The 19,597-nt window shown below is 41.9% G+C and overlaps 1 protein-coding gene across 5 annotated transcripts in view, besides 1 other annotated feature; it reads right to left on the bottom strand.

Moving 5' to 3' along the window:
* The window catches only part of KIF1B (kinesin family member 1B), a 171,034-nt gene that overhangs the window by 110,533 nt on the left and 40,904 nt on the right, over positions 1–19,597 (bottom strand). For all 5 annotated transcript variants that reach the window (NM_001365951.3, NM_183416.4, NM_015074.3 and 2 more), the window contains exons 3-7: positions 14,748–14,824; positions 12,399–12,578; positions 9,101–9,166; positions 3,513–3,691; positions 2,808–2,919 (exon numbers count right to left, since the gene is read on the bottom strand). In NM_001365951.3, coding sequence (NP_001352880.1) covers positions 2,808–2,919; positions 3,513–3,691; positions 9,101–9,166; positions 12,399–12,578; positions 14,748–14,824 — 614 coding nt within the window. The remainder of the gene's footprint in view (positions 1–2,807; positions 2,920–3,512; positions 3,692–9,100; positions 9,167–12,398; positions 12,579–14,747; positions 14,825–19,597) is intronic.
* Positions 9,054–9,254: a silencer, noted in NCBI's record as "peak65 fragment used in MPRA reporter construct". NCBI's record gives its function as "represses an SCP1 promoter by STARR-seq MPRAs in K562 erythroleukemia cells {active_cell/tissue: K562}" and the evidence as "EXISTENCE:reporter gene assay evidence [ECO:0000049][PMID:32103011]".

The following is a 19,597-nucleotide window of genomic DNA, read 5'->3' as shown; positions in this document are numbered from 1 at the left end:
AACTCATCAACTCATTAAATGGCTTACTAAAAGTGAAGCTTTAAGCAACTGGAACAATCACATATTTCTGGTGGGAATGTAAAATGGTACAATCACTTTGGAAAACAATTTGACATTTATTTTCTTTCCTTTTTTTTTTTTTTTTGAGACAGAGTCTCGCTCTGTCACCCAGGCTGGAATGCAATGGTGCAATCTTGGCTCACTGCAACCTCCACCTCCTGGGTTCAAACGATTCTCCCACCTCAGCCTCCCGAGTAGCTGAGCTTACAGGCGCCCACCACCACGCCCAGCTAATTTTTTTTGTATTTTTAGTAGAGACGGGGTTTCACCATGTTGACCAGGCTGGTCTCAAACTCCTGACCTTGTGATCCACCCGCCTCAGCCTCCCATGGTGCTGGGAGTACAGGCGTGAGCCACCGTGCCCAGCCTTGACATTTCTTAAGGAGCTACAATAAGACTCAATCATCCTACTCCTAAGTATTTACCAACAGAACAAAAACAAATGTCCACACAAAGACTTGTACACAAATGTTCACATCAGCTTCGTTTGTAATAATCAAAAACTGGCAACAGTTTAAAAGTCCATCAACAGTTGAATTAATAAACTGTGGTGTATCTGTATAACGCAATACTCATCAACAATGAAAAGGAACTATTGATAAACACAACAACATAGATGAATCTCAAAATCACTATGCTAAGTGAAAGACTCCAGACAAAAAACAGTACATACTCTATGATTCCATTTATATAAAATTCTAGAAAATGTAAATTAATATATAGTGACAAAAGGGCAGGTCCGGAATTGCCCGGGAATTGCCACAGAAGAAGGGATAGAGAAAGACTACAAAGAGATATGAGGCAACTTTTGAGAATAAAAATTATCATTATCTGGATTGTGGCGCTAGTTTCACAGGTATACAAATACGTCAAAACTGACCAAATTTTACGCTTTAAATATGTGCCATTTACTGTATACTTCAATAATACCTCAATAACACTGTAAAAAAATAAAGCTTCAGGAAAGTTTAGACAAAAGTATCCAAAATGAATTACCAGGAAAGCTATGATTATGGGATTAACATTAATTTTGTAGATTCGACATCATGGGAGAAGGGCAAAAAACACCTTCACATACAATGTTCTTTGCTGGCATTCAGATAAACACTAACTAATAAATAGCACTAATATTATAACCTCTGGCTAAACAAGTTATTTGATCATCTATATAAGAAATATATATATATTTTTTGAGACGAAGTTTCGCTCTTGTTACCCAGGCTGAAGTGCAATGGCGCAACCTCAGCCAACTGCAACCTCTGCCTCCCAGGTTCAAGCGATTCTCCTGCCTCAGCCTCTGGAGTAGCTAGGATTACCGGCACACACCATGACCGGCTAATTTTTTGTATTTTTAGTAGAGACTGGGTTTCACCATGTTGACCAGGCTGGTCTCGAACTCCTGACCTCAGGTGATCCACCCGCCTCAGCCTCCCAAAGTGCTTGGATTACAGGTGTGAGCCACCATGCCCAGTAGGAGTGTGTTTTTTTTTTTTTTTGAGACAGAGTCTCGCTCTGTCACCCATGCTGGAGTGCAATGGCACGATCTTGGCTCACTGCAACCTCCACCTCCTGGGTTCAAGCGATTCTCCTGCCTCAGCCTCCTGAGCAGCTGGGACCACAGGCGCATGCCACCACGCACAGCCAATTTTTTTATATTTTTAGTAGAGACTGGGTTTCACCATGCTGGCCAGGCTGGTCCCAAACTCCTGACCTCTTGATCTGTCTGCCTTGGCCTCCCACAGTGCTGGGATTACAGGTGTGAGCCACCATACCCGGCCCAGCAGGAGTATATTTTTAAAAATCATTTTCAGCTAGAAATAAGTCAACAAATAAAAGGTGATTTTAATAATTAGTGACAGTGGTGTCTAAAGTACTCATTTTATAAGGCAAAGGATCTTTTATAATTGCCAGTACAATAAACCTAACTTGAAGCTTAAAAATCCAGGTGCATCCTTCTTAGGGATGCAGATAGAGTAGTATTCAACATAAATTTTTTATTACTAACAATAACAATAAAATTAACATTATTGAGTGGCTACTCTGTGCCAGACATTATTGTATGCACTTAACCTATATTAACGCTTAATCTTTTTAACAATCCTATCAGGCTGTTATGGATGGGGAAACTGAGGAACAAAGAGGTTAAGTAGTTTGCCCAAAGTAATATAGCTGAAGAGTGGCAGAATCAGAATTCAAAGCAAGCAATCCAACGCTAAAGTCTGTGACATTTAACCACTATAGAAAATGAAAAATCAATAAGCAAAGAAAGGTATTTGAAGAACACCAGAACTGTTGTGGAGTTATTTTCCAGGAATGAAACATATCATTTGCTTAAACATTTAATCCCACTATAACATTATCATAGCTCAAAAAAAAAAAAAAAAAGAATACACATACCAAAGGCAGCTAATAAGGTAATAAAAAGGTTCAGTCAAGAAGAAGAAAAGAAAGAACTTTCTCCTGCAAGACTGCTTAACTGTCTTGTATTGAGTAGTTTTTGAGACCCAAAGTCCTGGATTGTTTTTTTCTTAACCCTATTCTCTATCTTACAACTTCATTTAAGAACCTATACAGAAAACTGGTGTAGGGTGGAAGAAAAATGATAAGCAGAGGTATAAAACACCCTCCATTAAGTAAAAGAGCACCCCCCAACACCCAACCTTCCACAAAAAGCAGAGGGCAACAAAAGGGACTTCTCAAAATCTCCATCCTTCACAACTCAAGCCTAGAGACTGAAACTCTCCTACCTTCTCAGTGGAAAGGTTGGTCTCATTATCGTGTTTCTTCTGGGTGAAAACAATCGTAAACACAGCGTGGGAACGGCTACTTGTTTCATTCATGTTTGTAGCTGCCACTGTCCTAAATAAACATAAAGGTGACCACGTGACAAGGGAATTCTTAGATGAGAGTTGAAATGGACAGCAGGCTCCACATTATAAGCATAACAATCACAAGCAATAGTCTTAAACTTATTCACAGATTGCAAGATTGTCACTTACACAATTGCTCTCAATACTGCCTTATTTGTGAGCCCATCAAGTTACTCTCCAATTCCAAAGGCACCCCATCAGAATCATTTTTCATACTCCAGCTATCCCTTTAGAAACCAATGAAGCATTTAATTTTTATTCTTTATTGGTGCTCATTTATTCCAGAATCAATTACTACCACAGCCGCATATATACATGATAACTAACATTTTACCATGACTTGATCAAAACCTAAGAGTAAAACTCAATGAGAGCTCTAACATGTTTCAGCAATGTACTGTTTAGATGAGAAGATACTTAACACTCTGAAGCCCTCACTGTTACAGCACAGTCAAAGGATCAGAGGACTCCACAATTAAAGCAACTTTCATAGCTATAAATGTGGCCTCAAACCCTTAACTGGGAAAAAAGGACCTCAAAAGGTGCCAAAGACCTCAGTCATTACTCTATTTCCTACCATACCTGGCTTTGTTCCCAGCATCCATGAGGTCAGCAATGTCTGTGTAGGAAGTAACTGCCAACTTGGACAGATCCTCCACATAGGGTCCAAGAAGTGGGTGTTCACGCACACGCAAATTACCCTTGTTTTTTGGATTCAGCAAATCTCGTACTCTTTCACAGTAAATTTCCATGTAGCTCACCTATGAACAAATTAGTAAAGTGAATTAGAGTGAAAAAGAAATCACATACAGAAGCCGGGCGCGGTGGCTCACGCCTGTAATCCCAGCACTTTGGGAGGCCAAGGAGGGCGGATCACTTGAGATCACTCGAACTACGAGTTCGAGACCAGTCTGGCCAACATGGTGAAATCCCGTCTCTACCAAAAATACAAAAAGGAGCCAGGCGTGGTGGCACATGCCTGTAGTCTCAGCTACTCAGGAGGCTAAGGCAGGAGAAATCGCCTGTACCTGGGAGGTGGAGGTTAGAGTGAGCCGATATCACACCCCTGCACTTCAGCCTCGGTGACAGAGTGAGGCTCTGTCTTAATAAAAAAAAAGAAAGAAAGAAAGAAAGAAAAAGAAAACAAAAGAAATCACATACAGAAAAAAAATTTTTTTAACTTTTATTAAAAGCTCTAAGATTAGAGATCAGCAACCTTTACAAAGTGAAATGCCGTAACTCTAGGCCCTTTTATTCTATTAACAATACGCACAGGTAATTACACTGAATAGGTTAGAACCAGCCTTCAGACTTTCTCTGTAAGGGAGAGGTAAACAGATTATCTCTGGAATGTAGTGACAGCTAAAAGATATTTTAGTAGCAATTTATCAGTTATCAATGTTTTTTAAAATGTATACTGTTGTCAGTAACTGGGATTTGCATTGAGGTTACTCCAAGAACTCGGAAATAAGATTTCTATTAGAGTTAAAACCAAGGAACAATATCAATATTACAGAGCAGAGAAGACAAAACAGACGGGTGATGCTAATTCTTTAAGGCTCACCACACTGTTACTAACTATGGACGATGTATCCTCCAGAAGGGATGAGGGTTGACCAGCATGAAAGCTGGTGGTGGCAGGACCTATCCAAGATTTGTGAGGGAGAAAGAAGCCTCAGACAATACACTTCATAAATTCTTGTCTCATTGGCAGGACCATTCGATCATGGTGATTAATGCATTAAGCTATCATTTCTTAACCTGGGGCAATTAAACATGTATCTAAGCAACTCCTCTCCTTCTAATTCCATGCACACCAAACAACCAACAGGCTTCCAACAGCGAGGTCTGTCCACAGAAATATATTAAATAGTCTTGCGAATGGCTTGAGTGTTCTAGCCTTAGTAATAGTTATTTCTCATGGTAAAGTAACAAACCAACAAGTTGGTTTCATAACATCAGTCAAATGAGCTTTACTCAAGTCTTAACTTGTAAGGATAGTCCTTTTCTTGATGAATCTACAAAATCAGACTTCTAAGCAAACAAGGCTCTGAACTAGGGTAAATTCATCACAATAGGCCACATTACGATGCTACCCAGGAAACAGATCCTTCTGTATCATGGAGCTATTCAAGCTTACATTACAGCTCCTGCATTTTTAAACTTTAAATGTCTATGGACATGTTTTCAGAGTATCTGGAATGGAATCTTAATTCCATTTCTATTGCCTTTTTCTTTCATTCAGTCTCTAACTGTATTTTTATACTGTATTTTATTTTTATATATTTTTTGAGACTGTATCTTACTCTGTCACCCAGGCTGGAGTGCAGTGGCTCAAACATGGCTCACTGCAGCCTCGACTTCCTGGGCTTAAGCAATCCTCCTGCCTCAGCCTCTGGAGTAACTGGGACTACAGGCACGTGCCACCATGCCTAGCTAATTAAAAAAAATTTTTTTTTGCAGAGACAGGGTCTCACCACGTTGCCCAGGCTGGTCTTGAACTCCTGGGCTCAAGCAATCCTCCCATCTTGGCCTCCCAAAGTGCAGGGATTACAGGTGTGAGCCACCGCACCTGGCCTTAATTTGTGTTTTAAAATCAGTTAAAGGCTGGGCATGGTGGCTCATGCCTGGAATCCCCACTCTTTGGGAGGTCAAGGTGGGCAGATTGCTTGAGCTCAGGAATTCGAGACCAACCTGGGTAACATGGTAAAACCCCACTTCTACCAAAAATACAAAGAATTAGCCAGGCATGGTAGTGTGTGCCTGTGTTCCCAGCTACTCGGGAGGCTGAGGTGGGAAGATCACTCAAGCCCAGGAGGTTGGGGATGCAGTGAGCTGAGATCACGCCACTGCACTCCAGCCTGGGTGACAGTGAGATCCTGTCTCTAAAAATAAATAAATAAATAAATAAATAAATAAATAAATAAATAAATAAATAAAATCCATTTTAAAAAATTAAGAACTTGGCCAGATGCAGTAGCTCATGCCTGTAATCTTAGCACTTTGGGAGCCACACACTGTGGCACATGCCTGTGGTGCAAATTACTCAGGAGGCTGAGGCAGGACGATCACTGAGCCCAGGAGGTCAAGGCTGCAGCGAACCCTGTTTGCACCACTGCACTCCAGTCTGGGTAACAGAGCAAGACCTTGTCTTAAAAAAAAAGAAGAAAAAGAAAAAAAGGCCGGGCGCAGTGGCTCACGCCTATAATCCCAGCCCTTTGGGAGGCCAAGGCGGGTGGATCATGAGGTCAGGAGTTCGAGACCAGCCTGGCCAACATGGTGAAACCCTGTGTCTACTAAAAATACAGAAAATTAGCCAGGTGTGGTAGCAGGAGCCTGTAATCCCAGCCTCTCGGGAGGCTGAGGCAGGAGAATTGCTTGAACCTGGGAGGCGGAGGTTGAAGTGAGCCGAGACCGCGCCGCTGCACTCCAGCCTGGGTGACAGAGTGAGACTCTGTCTCCAAAAAAAAAGACAACTCTGAAAGATAAAGTAATTAATCTATTATGAGAGTAAAGTAACAGAACAACAAATATTCTTTCTGACAGCAAGTCATCCTAGAAAGTGAGATGATTCTTCAATCATTGCTGTGTACTTAAATTTGTACATACAATACTGAATCCCCGGAATATATTACATCTTTTGGAACACTCGTACCTTTTCACACAAATGTGAGACAAAGAGAACCCAAATAATCTAGGTAAAAGTTCATGTGCTCCATTCCTTATGCTCTGATATGTGAATCCATCCAAAGCCATCATCATTTCTTTTACTTCTGCACCAACCACTCCAGATGCCACCTGGCAGATCCAACTCACTGAGGACCGTTCTCTTACAGGCACTGTTCTAGGCAATTGGTATACACCACTAAATAAAGCAGACAAAGAACCCTGCCCCAGTGAGCTTATGCTTCTAGCAAGGGATACTGATAATAAACAACAAACATAAAAAATAGGTAACTGAGAAAGCATGTTAGAACATGATGAGTATGATGGAAAAAAGAAAATAGAATGGGGAAGAGAGCTCAGGATGTGGGGTAAAGGGCAAGATACAATATTAAATAAGGTGGTCAAGGTAAGCCTCACTGAGAGTGTGTGATTTATGCAGACTTGAAGAACGTGAGAAACTTAGTCAAAATGACATCCAAGTGAACAACATTTCAGGCAAGAGGAGAAGTAAATGTAGAGGCCTTGAAGCAGGAATGTTTCTGGTATGTTCTTGAAACAGGAAAAAAGGCAATATGGGTGGAGCAGAGTAAACAGGGAAGGAAGTAGAAGAGACAGGTAGAGAGGTCCTGCAAATGTGGCAAGAAACCACAGTGTCAACTAGGAATCTATGCTCCACTCCAAGTTAAGCCTGGAAACTCTAATACAAAAGAAAAGGGCATCTTCTTTTATTACCTGTAAGCTCAAAAATTCTATCACCTGATTCAAAAAAGAATAACTATGGGACAAGCTATTCAGAAAATTCATTTTAACGCAAAATATGCTTAGGGCAGCACATTCTCTTTTTGGTGTATGACAGTCACAAGACAGAATTCCTTAGAATTTACATATTTATGCAACACCTTCTAGGTGAAGAAAAAACTCCAAAGCAATTAAATGAATTAACTAGGAATGAAATGCTGTAAGGCTACAGAGAATCAGAACAAATACCAAAAAGAAAAGAAAAAAAATCTCAAGATCGCTTAAAAGGCAGCCTATTTTTTCAAAACAGACTCATGGTAACAGAACACTTTAATAATTTCAGTTACTATGAAAGTGAATACCAAAAAAGGGTGTGGTGGGGGGGTGGCGGTGAGAGAGAGAGGGAGGAAGAGAAAGAAACAGCAGCTTCTTCTTTTTATTTATTTATTATTATTATTTTTTTTTTGAGACAGACTCCAGGCTGGGGTGCACTGGCATGATCTCGGCTCACTGTAACCTCTGCCTCCTGGGTTCAAGCGATTCTCGTGCCTCAGCCTCCCGAGTAGCTGGGATTACAGGTGTGCACCACCACAGCCGGCTAATTTTTTGTGTTTTTAGTAGAGACAGGGTTTTGCCAGGTTGGCCACGCTGGTCTCAAACTCCTGGCCTCAAGTGATCCATTCGCCTCCCGAAGTGCTGGGATTACAGGTATGAGCCCCAAAACAGCTTCTTTAAGCACATACAAAACAGAGAGAATGTTTATCAAATAAGCAAATGTGTATAAAGTAATTCTATAGACTTCATGAAAGAGCCAGGGTAAACACAGGATGGATAATTACTTTCCAAGTTTTTATAAGCAATTAAAAAAGTGGGAAAGGGGGAGATTTGATTATATATATTTAAAACCAATGCCTGTCAAAAACCATTATTAACAATATTAAAGGAGAAGAGTTCCCACAAATGAATCAGAAAGACATTGTGAACCCAAAATGTAAACAGGCATATGCATAATTTACAAGACGTTCAACCATACTAGTAATCAAAGAAATTCAAAATTTAAGTAAGAGAATACTTACATTATCAAATTAGCAAAGATTAAAAAATAGAAAAATGTTGGCAAGGGCACAATGGGTGCTTACACCCTCCTAGTGTGACTGAAAACTGTTACCCAGCATTACTTTCCAAAAAGGCATTTGGCAATTCAAATGTATTATTTAAAAACCAAGAAACATACAAAAGATAATAACTGCAAATAAATGCACAGACTTATGAACAAAGATTTAATTGTGGCTGGGCTCAGTGATTCACACTGCAACCCCAGCACTTTCAGAGGTGGAGGAGGCAAGATTGCTTGAGCCCAAGAGTTCAACACCAACCTGGGCAACATAGGGAAACTCCATCTCTACAAAAAAATCAATTATCTAGGGGTGGTGGTGGCACACACCTGTTGTCCCAGCTACTTGAGAAGCTGAGGGGGTAAGATCGCTTTGGCCCAGAAGGTCAAGGCTGCAGTGAGCTGTGATCACGCCACTGCACTCCAGGGCCTGGGCAACAGAGTGAGACCCTGTCCCCACCGCGCACCCCCCAAAAAAAAGATTAAAGCAGGACACTATTCATTATACCCAAAACCCAGAAATAGCCTGAAAGGACAAAAATGAAGGAATGGTGAAGTGATGTGTACCACAGTCATAATTTGGAGCCATTTAAGTGATGCTTGAGAGAATGGAAAACAAGGGCTTACGGTGTCAACTCACGGCTGTACTCACCTCTACAGAGTAAGACATTTCTTCATTACAGTTGTCATTGATTTTCTCAAAAAGTTCTTCACATAACTAGGGAAGTAGAATGAGAGAGGCATGAAGAGCACAAATGAGAGGAGTACTAAGTCATCCACGCGTGCTCAATGAATTAGCCAGACGTCCTTTCTTGCTCCATCTCAAAATATATTATGTCATAAACATCAAGATACGATTAATGCTTTGAATAAAGTCAGTCATGCGCTGCATAACCATGATTCGGTCAACGATGGACTGCATATATGATAGTGATCCCCATAAGATTATAAGAAAGCTGGAAAATTCCTGTCACCTAGTGATATCTTGATGATCCTGACCCTGTGTAGGCCTAGGCTAATAAATGTGTGCCTAAGTTTTTAACAAAAAAGTTTAAATTTTTTTTCAAAAATTAAAAATTTGGGCTGGGCAAGGTGGCTCATGCCTGTAATCCCAGCACTTTGGGAGGACGAGGCAGGCAGATCACAAGGTCAGGAGATCGAGAACATCTTGGCCAACATGGTGAAACCCCATCTCTACTAAAAATACAAAAATAGTCCCAGCTATTCTGGAGGCTGAGGCAGGAGAATCGCTTGAACCCAGGAGGCGGAGGTTGCAGTGAGCCAAGATCGTGCCACTGCATTCCAGCCTGGGCAAGAGGAGTGAAACTCTGTCTAAAAAAAAAAAAAAAAAATTTGGCCAGGTGCAGTGGCTCACGCCTGTAAATCTCAGCACTTTGGGAGGCCAAGGCAGGCAGATCACTTGAGGCCAGGAGTTCAAGACCAGCCTGGCCAACATTGTGAAACCCCGTCTCTACTAAAAATACAAAAATTAGCCAGACGTGGTGGTACGTGCCTGTAGTCCCAGCTACTCAGGAGGCTAAGGCACAAGAATTAATTGAACCCAGGAGGCGGAGGTTGCAGTGAGCTGATAGGGCGCCACTGTACTCCAGCCTGGGTGACAAAGCAAGACTCTGTCTCAAGAAAGAAAAAAAAAATTAAAAAATACAAAAAAGCTTATAGAATAAAGATATGAAGAAAGAAAATATTTTTGTACAGCTGTACAAAGTGTGTGTGTGGTTTCTTTTTTTTTTTTTTGAGACCGAGTTTCACTCTTGTTGCTCATGCTAGAGTGCAATGGCGCGATCTCAGCTCACTGCAACCTCCGTCTCCTGGGTTCAAGCAATTCTCCTGCCTCAGCCTCCCAAGTAGCTGGGATTACAGGCATGCGCCACCATGCCTGGCTCATTTTTTTGTATTTTTAGTAGACACGGGGTTTCACCATGTTGGTCAGGCTGGTCTCGAACTCCTGACCTCCAGTGATCCACCCGCCTTGGCCTCCCAAAGTGATGGGATTACAGGCATGAGCCACCATGCTGGGGCTGTTTGTGTTTTAAACTAAAGGTTATTATAAAAGGATCAGAAAGTTTAAAAAATTTTAAAGTTTATAAAGTAAAAAAGTTATAGTAATTTAACTAAGGTTAATTATTGAAAGGAAACTGTTTTTAAAACTAAATTTAGTGTAGCCTAAGTGTGCAGCATTTATAAAGTCTACAATACTGCAAAGCAATGTCCTAGGCCTTCACATTTACTCACCACTTGCTCACTGACTCACCCAGAGCAACTTCCAGCCCTGCAAGCTCCAGTGTAAGAGCACTATGCAGGTGTGCCATTTCAAATCTTTTATATCATATTTTTAATGTACTTTTCTATGTTTAGATATACAAATACTTACCATCCTATTATAATTGCCTGTAGTATTCAGTACAGTAGCATGCTACACAAGTTTATAGCCTTGGAGCAACAGGCTATACAACGCAGTCTAGGTGTGGAGCAGTTTACACCTTCCAGGGTTTGTGTAAGTACACTCTATGATATCTGTACAATGACAAAAGCACCTAACGACTAATGATGCATTTCTCAAAATGTACCCCCACCCTTAAGTGATGCATGACTATAAAAGGAAAATTTTAAATACAATCTTCTCACTTAATCTTTTTTTTTTCTTAAGTTTTTAGGCCCCGCACAGTGGCTCATGCCTGTAATCCCAGTACTTCTGGAAGTCGAGGCAGGCAGATCATCCCAAGCCCAGGATGGAGCCCAGGTCCATTCGAGACCAGCCTGGACAACATGGTGAGACCCTGTCTCTAAAAAAAAAATTTTAAAGGCCGGGCATGGTGACTCATGCCTGCAATCCCTGCACTTTGGGAGGCGGAGGTGGGCGGATTGCCTGAGGTCAGGAGATCCAGACCAGGACCAACATGGTGAAACCCCGCCTCTACTAAAAATACAAAAATTAGCCAGGCATAGTGGTGGGTGCCTATTGTCCCAGCTACTTGGGAGGCTGAGGCAGGAGAATCACTTGAACCCAGGAGGCGGAGGTTGCAGTGAGCCAAGATGGCGCCATTGCACTCCAGCCTGGGCAACAGAGAGAGACTCCACCTCAAAAAAAAAAAAAAATTTTTTTTTTTTTTAATTTAAAAATGAGCTAGGTGTGGTGGCACATGGCTTTAGTCCCAGCTACTCTGGAGGCTAAGGCAGGAGGATCACTTGAGCCTGGGAGGACAAGGCCTCAGTGAGCCAAGATCACACCACTGCACTCCAGCATGGGCAACAGAGTGAGACCCTGTCTCAAATAAATAAGTAAATAATGAAGTTCTTTTTAAATACTTATGTCTTTCACCATTAAATCCTAAGTGAAACGAATAATGAAAATAAAAATAAATAAATATCTATGTCAGAACGCTTCTTCATTCCCAAACAATAAAGGATCAAACCCAATAATACTAACTGTTCTAAAAAAAAAAAAAAAGAGGGAGAATCTCAGAGTGTTTGAAGTTTAAAGTCATAGTATTAAATTAGGAAAATAAAATGAAAGTATCTCCGAATAAGGCTATCAAAAAAACCAAAAATAATCACATTCTTCAGAGGTAATCTATGCATGGAATTTGAAAAAAAATCAGATCAACAATATCCCCCCATCTCCAGGACTTAGAACAGAGCTTTAACAAGCTGGTAACACTTTTCAAATGACAAAATAATATGGCATTGGATATATGGCAAAATCATTACAAAACACTGACTTTCCCACCTTTAATGACAGACATGTGTACATGTCAATCCTTCCCATTCAATTGTGAGCTCCTCTGAGGGAAAATAATGGGTTGTTCATCTTTGTGCCTGACATAAAACAATCCCCGCATAAATGTTCGCCAAATAAAAATAACTGTTAAAGCAATTTAAGACTAACACTAATAATGAAGAGAAGATTTTTGTTTTGTTTTGTTTTTCACCTGTGGAATGATGCCAGCCTGGCTTTCTTCTTGTTTACCCATCATTGTATAAGATTTTCCAGCACCAGTCTGCCCATAGGCAAAAATACAGACATTATATCCCTCAAAGGCGTGTAAGAGCATTTCCTTGCCAATGTCATTGTACACACGGTTTTGAGATGCAAAACAGGGATCTTCGGGCTGTAAAGAGTAAAAGGAGAAATAAATAACCTTTTATTAATATTTCTTCCTATACTTACTTGATTGCTTCCATAATAAAAGTGTCTGGAATCAGAACAGTCACCTAAAATTCCCTACACATTTTTTAAGCCTCCTATACACAAGTTTACTTTTCTCATTAAATACACGCACATGCACACACACACACTCACAAACACATGCACTGTTAGAGTCATCCAGGTCAGCCATACATAAAAATATCTATATAAAATTATCTGGCATGATTACATTTCACTTTCTATAACCTTAAAAGTATCACTCTTTCATTCACACAGCCAAGATTTTCTTAAGTGGAAAATGAGAATAAAAGACCAAAGGTCAAGTCCACATATAAAAATACTTCTTTGAACTCACTCCAGCTACTGGGACTATTTCTCAATAAACACAGCTTTCAGGAAACAGCATTTCCAATCCCCTTCTCAGTCCCTTCCCTTGACAATTAGGCTTTGTCAATAGTTTAAAACATCGATTCCCCAGGGCAGGGCACAGTGGCTCATGCCTATAATCCCATCACTCTGGGAGGCCAAGGCGGGCAGATCACTTGAGGATAGGAATTCGAGACCAGCCTGGCCAACACAGCGAAACCCCATCTCTACTAAAAATTAAAAAAATCAGCCGGGTGTGGTGGCACCTGCCTGTAATCTCAGATACTCAGGAGGCTGAAGCAGGAGAACTGCTTGAACCCAGGAGGTGTAGGTTGCAGTGAGCTGAGATCATGCCACTGCACTCCAGCCTAGGCAACAGAGCGAGACTCAGTCTTTAAAAAAAAATACAAAACAGGAAAAACAAAACCAAAAACATGTAACAAAGAGATGAATGATGCAGAAGTAAACTCTATGAACAATCCCTAAGAAGCAGCAACATTTGGGGTTCCACACTGAGTAAGGGTACCAGGAAGGGCCCTACTCTGCATTTTCGTAATACTGGTAATCTTTTGTTTCCCTTGTGGATCTGCAGCCTCTTTCCTTTTTTTTTTTTTGAGACACAGTCATGTTCCATCACCCAGGCTGGAGTGCAGTGGTGCGATCTCGGCTCACTGCAACCTCCACCTCCCTGGGTTCAAGCAGTTCACCTGCCTCAGCCTCCCAAGTAGCTGGGATTACAGGCACCCGCCACCAAGCCCACCTAATTTTTTTTTTTTTTTGGAATTTTTAGTAGAGGCACGGTATCATCTTTCAAAATGTTCAGAACCCACATTGCTCTACTACAATTAAAAAAAAAAAATTGGCCAGGCACGGTGGCTCACTCCTTTAATCCCAACACTTTGAGAGGTCGAGGCAGGTGGATCAGGAGGTCAGGAGTTCAAGATCAGCCTAGCCAAAAACAAACAAACAAACAAAAAAAAAACAATTTCTCTGTGGTCATTCCAATCTTGCTGGCCATTCCCTCAAAATTCAACTTAAAATTAACAGTACCCTAAGCAATTTTAATTTGGCATTTCCAGCCAGGCACAGTGGCTCACACCTGTAATCCCAGCACTTTGGGAGGCAAACACAGGTGGATCACTTAAGGTCAGAAGCTCGAGACCAGCCTGGCCAACATGGTCAAATCCTGTCTCTACTAAAAATACAAAAATTAGCTGGGCATAGTGCCACGCGCCTGTAATCCCAGCTACTCGGGAGGCTGAGGCGGGAGAATCGCTTGAACCTCGGAGGCGGAGGTTGCAGTGAGCCAAGATGGCACCACTGTACTCCAGCCTGGGCGACAGAGTGAGACTCCGTCTCAGAAGAAAAATAATAATAATAATAATTATTATTATTATTTGGCATTTCCTAAGATCAATGGGCAATAATGTTGGTAATGAGGATCCTAAGATACTGATAAATAAATCCTCAAGAAATGTCTAAATCAGTATAAATTTAGTGTACATTCAGTATAAATTTGGTGTAAACTAAATATGTTCTGTATGTATATATGTGTATATATTTATGTATATGTGTACATAAACTTTCCATCAACCCAAATACTTTATGAATGAAAATACTATATCACTGTATCAAAGAATGAACTCATGCTACACAACAGTTAAGAAGCAAAACTTGGATCTGCTCAGCTAAGAGAAAAGACAAATCGGCAAGGAAAGAGGAAAGGAGGCAGGAGCTGGCAGTGCTGTGGCATGAGGGTACTCACTGAGGTATGAGACCAGTAGGAATAGTCGAAGCTGAAGGACTTTGGAGCTTCCTTTGGATTCTTTGGGTTAATAATACCTAGAAGATAAAAATGTTTCATTTTATAAGTCACTCAATTACAAGTTCTTTAGTTAAACATGTTATTCTGTGTGTTCAAAACATCCCAATCAGTAAATTCATACCACTAAATCTGAATAGGGCAATCAAAAATTAATAGGCTGGGCTCAGTGGCTCATGCCTGTAATTTCAGCATTTTGAGAGTCCGAGCTGGGTGGATCACTAGAGGTCAGGAGTTCAAGACCACCCTGGGCAACATGGTGAAACCCTGTCTCTACAACAAATACCAAAAAAAAAAAAAACAACAACAACTAGCTGGGCATGGTGGCACATGCCTGCAGTCCCAGCTACTTAGGAAGCTGAGGTCGGAGGATGGCTTGAGCCTGGAGGTTTGAGGATGTAGTTAGCTGTTATCGAGCCACTGCACCCCAGCCTATTTTGAGACCCGATCTCAAAAATGAATGAATGAATGAAAACAATCATAGTTTTAAGAGGTAATTTATACATGGAACATGAAAAACCAGACCAACAGCATTAACTGCGTGTTACCAGTATTCAGAACAGACCCTGGTATAAAGTAGATGCTCAGTAAATATTCTGTGACAATGTTTATCCTCCTTAGGTAAGTTACCAGCCAAAATTTGGAAATGAACGACATTTCTATTTCTTTTCTTTTTGAAGACAGAGTCTTGCTCTATTCCCCAAGCTGGAGTGCAGTGGTGTGATCTCGGCTCACTGCAACCACCTCATCCCGGGTTCAAGAAATTCTCCCGCCTCAGCCTCCTGAGTAGCTGGGATTACTGGCATCCACCACTACAACTGGCTAATTTTTTTATTTTTAGTAGAGACAGGGTTTCACCATGTTGGCCAGGCTGGTCTCGAACTCCTGACCTCAGGTGATCTGCGCATCTCCGCCTCCCTAACTGCTGGGATTACAGGCGTGAGCCACTGCACCTGGCCCACATTACTATTTCAAGGCACCCGTTAAGCCCTGAAATATTGGAACACATCAGAAATGGAGCTGGGCGCGGTGGCTCCCACTTGTAATCCCAGCACTTTGGGAGGCCAAGGCAGGTGTATCACTTGAGGTCAGGAATTCGAGACTAGCCTGGCGAACATGGTGAAACCCCATCTCTACCAAAAACACAAAAATTAGCCAGAAATAGTGGTGTGTGCCTATAATCCCAGCTACTGGGGAGGTTGAGGCAGGAGAATCACTTGAACCCGGGAGGCAGAGGTTGCACTGAGCTGATATTAATGCACTGCACTCCAGCCTGGGTGACAGAGTAAGACTTCATCTCAAGAAAAAAAAGAGAAATGAAAATTAGAAAGTTATTGAATGAATCCAACCACTATTTGAAAGCAGCTTTTTTTTTTTTTTTTTTTTTTTTGAGACAGAGTCTCCCTCTGTCGCCCTAGCTGAAGGGGAGTGGCACGATCTCGGCTCACTGCAAGCTCCACCTCCCAGGTTCACGCCATTCTCCTGCCTCAGCCTCCTGAGTAGCTAGGACTACAGGCGCCCGCCACCACGCCCAGCTAATTTTTTTGTATTTTTAGTAGAGACGGGGTTTCACCGTGTTAGCCAGGATGGTCTTGATCTCCTGACCTTGTGATCCACCCGCCTCGGCCTCCCAAAGTGCTGGGATTACAAGCGTGAGCCACCGCGCCTGGCCATGAAAGCTCTTTTTAAAGATCTTACTATGTACTTCAGAAAAGCATTTGGTAATGAAGCATTCATTACAAATACAGTGTTATTTCTGAAATCTAAGGTTGACAAGTATGTAAATGATTAGTGTGTGTGTATTTATGTAATGTAGTATATAGTGGAATCACAGACTAAGTCATTTTGGAGTGTAATTAACTGCATGTTACCAGTATTCAGAAAAGACCCTGGTATAAAGTAGATGCTCAGTAAATACTCTGTGATAATGTTTATCCATCCTAGGTAAGTTAGCAGCCAAAATTTGGAAATGAACCACATTACAGCAAAATTACTTTTTTGACTGAAATGCATGAAGTCTCACCACCCACATTAAAAGTGATTTATCATGTCATTAATCCAGTCACACTATATTTCAGGGACTGACTATGAATGCTTTAAAGCTTAATCTTTCTCCCTCACTCATACACACAAAGCTTTAGCTCCTCATATTTGAAATGAAACAGAATCTTTATGGCATGTGGTCATGAAATCTCCTCAAAGACTGGATATCTCAACCAATCTACTCCTTTGAGATGTGGCAAGGCCACATCCCAGGCTATCAGTGAGATCAGGATTAAAAAATAAATCTGTCTCGCACAGCTGTTGCTCAGTACACAAATAGCAACAGTTGCTACGGTGCTTAGTTCTCTCTCTTGCTGGATTCCACTGGGTACAGCCACGCATTTATGTTCCAACCTCAAATGCTGACAGAGTATTAATAAAGCTCACACTGTACATAATCATGTGACAAGGAGACATGGTTCTAGAAGGAACATCTCTCCACATGCAAATGGTAATCCAAGCAAAGAAGTATACTTCTAACCAAAGAGGAATTAAATGCAAGATTTAAAAAACAGCCAACATTCACAGAACACTTACTCTGAGCCATAAGTACTTTCTGTCTACGAACCTTTTTTTTTCCTGAGACAGGATCTAACTCTGAGGCCCAGACTGGAGTACAGTGGTACAACCACAATTCACTACAGACTCAACCTCCTGGGCTCCAGTGATCCTCCCACCTCAGCCTCTGGAGTAGATGGGACCACAGGTTCATGCCACTACACCCGGCTAATTATTTTTCTTTTTTGTAGAGATGGGAGTCTCACTATGTTGCCCAGGCTGGTCTCAAACTCCTGGGCTCAAGCCATCCTCATGCCTCAGCTTCCCAAAGTGCTGGGATTACAGGTGTGAGCCACCACACCAGACCTACTAACCTATTTGATGCTCCCAAGCACTCAATGAGCCAGATGTTTCATTACCCCCATTTTACAGATAGATAAACCATCACAGAGAGGTTAAATAAGTTATTCATGGCTCCAGAGCTAGCTAGTGGCAGATTCAGGATGCAATTTTGGAGGGTTTGGCTCCAGAGTTCACACTCTTAGCCCAGACACCATCATTTAAATGCTTATTCCCTATATGCAGCATTGTCAAGGCTAAAGGCAGGAAGGCATTTTCATGGAAATACATGTGCACACCTACATGTATGTGGCCACCCCACTAAAATCACACTGTAGGCATTGTTTAAAATTCTCTTTATTGGCCAGGCACAGTGGCTCACATCTGTAATCCCAGTACTTTGGGAGGCTGAGGTGGGCAGATCACCTGAGGTCAGGAGTTGCAGACCAGCCTGTCCAACATGGTGAAACCCCATCTCTGTTAAAAATATAAAAAATCAGTGCAGCGTGGTGGGGCACGCCTGTAATCCCAGCTACTCGGGAGGCTAAGTAAGACAGGAGAATTGCTTGAACCCGAGAGGTGGAGGTTGCAGTGAGCCAAGATCACACCACTGTACTCCAGCCTGGGTACAAAAGAGCAAAACTCCATCTCAAAACAAAAAAAAACTGTCTTTATGACCTGGCTCGGTGACTCACACTTATAATCCCAGCACTTTGGGAAGCTCAGGCAGGAGGATCGCTGGAGTACAGGAATTTGAGACCAGCCTGGGCAACATGGTGAAATCTCATCTCCACAAAAAATACAAAAGTTAGCTAGGCATGGTGGTGTGTGCCTGCACTCCCAGCTACTCAGGGGGCTTAGGTAGGAAGATCACCTGAGCCCAGGGAGGTCCAGGCTGCAGTTAGCCAAGATTGTGCCACTGCACTCCATCCTGGATGACAGACTAAGACCCTGTCTCAAGTAACAACAGCAACAACAACAACAACAACAACAACAACAAAAACCCCACAAAAACAAAGAACCTCTCATTTAAAAGTGGGAACTGATGGCTGGGCACGGTCACTCACGCCTGTAATCCCAGCACTTTGGGAGGCTGAGGGGGGTTGATCACTTGAGGTCAGGAGTTTGCGACCAGCCTGGCCAACGTGGTGAAACCCCGTCTCTACAAAAAATACAAAAGTTAGCGAGGCATGGTGGCACGCACCTGTAATCCCAGCTACTTGGGAGGCTGAGGCGGGAGAATTGCTTGAACCTGGGAGGCAGAGGTTGCAGTGAGCCGAGATTGCACCACTGCACTCCAGCCTGGGCAACAGAGCAAGACTCCATCTCAAAAATAAATAAATAAATAAATATAAAAGTGGGAACTAGGAGGACTGTAGTTTCTAAAAGATCTAAAAGATGAATGACCACACAAACTCTACCAAGAAAACGGAAATAAGTGTCATATTGTGTGAGTCAGATTCTAGGTTTCGGTAGCTCAGCAATAAGAACAATGATGACACAAGGCATGCCCTCTGAGGTAGTCCTCACCGCTCAAAAACATGGTTATAATAAACACTCCTAGCCTCTAGAAAATTTGCTGTCAAAAAACTTTTAAGCCTCTGCACCATAAGACAGGGCCAAAAAATAAATGATAAAGCTTTTTTTTTTTTGAGACGGAGTTTTGCTCTTGTTGCCCAGGCTGGAGTGCAATGGTAGGATCTCAGCTCACTGCAACCTCCGCCTCCTGGGTTCAAGTAATTCTCCTGCCTCAGCCTGCCACGTATCTAGGATTACAGGCATGCATCACCACACCTGGCTAATTTTGTATGTCTAGTAGAGACAGGGTTTCACCATGTTGGTCAGGCTGTTCTCAAACTCCTGACCTCAGGTTATCCACCCACCTAAGCCACCCAAAGTGCTGGGATTACAGG

This window comes from Homo sapiens, chromosome 1 (genome assembly GCF_000001405.40).
Source record: "Homo sapiens chromosome 1, GRCh38.p14 Primary Assembly".
NCBI classification, from domain to species: Eukaryota; Metazoa; Chordata; class Mammalia; order Primates; family Hominidae; genus Homo; species Homo sapiens.
Note: the sequence above shows the minus strand (reverse complement) of the source record. Positions and strands in the feature narration are given on the sequence as shown.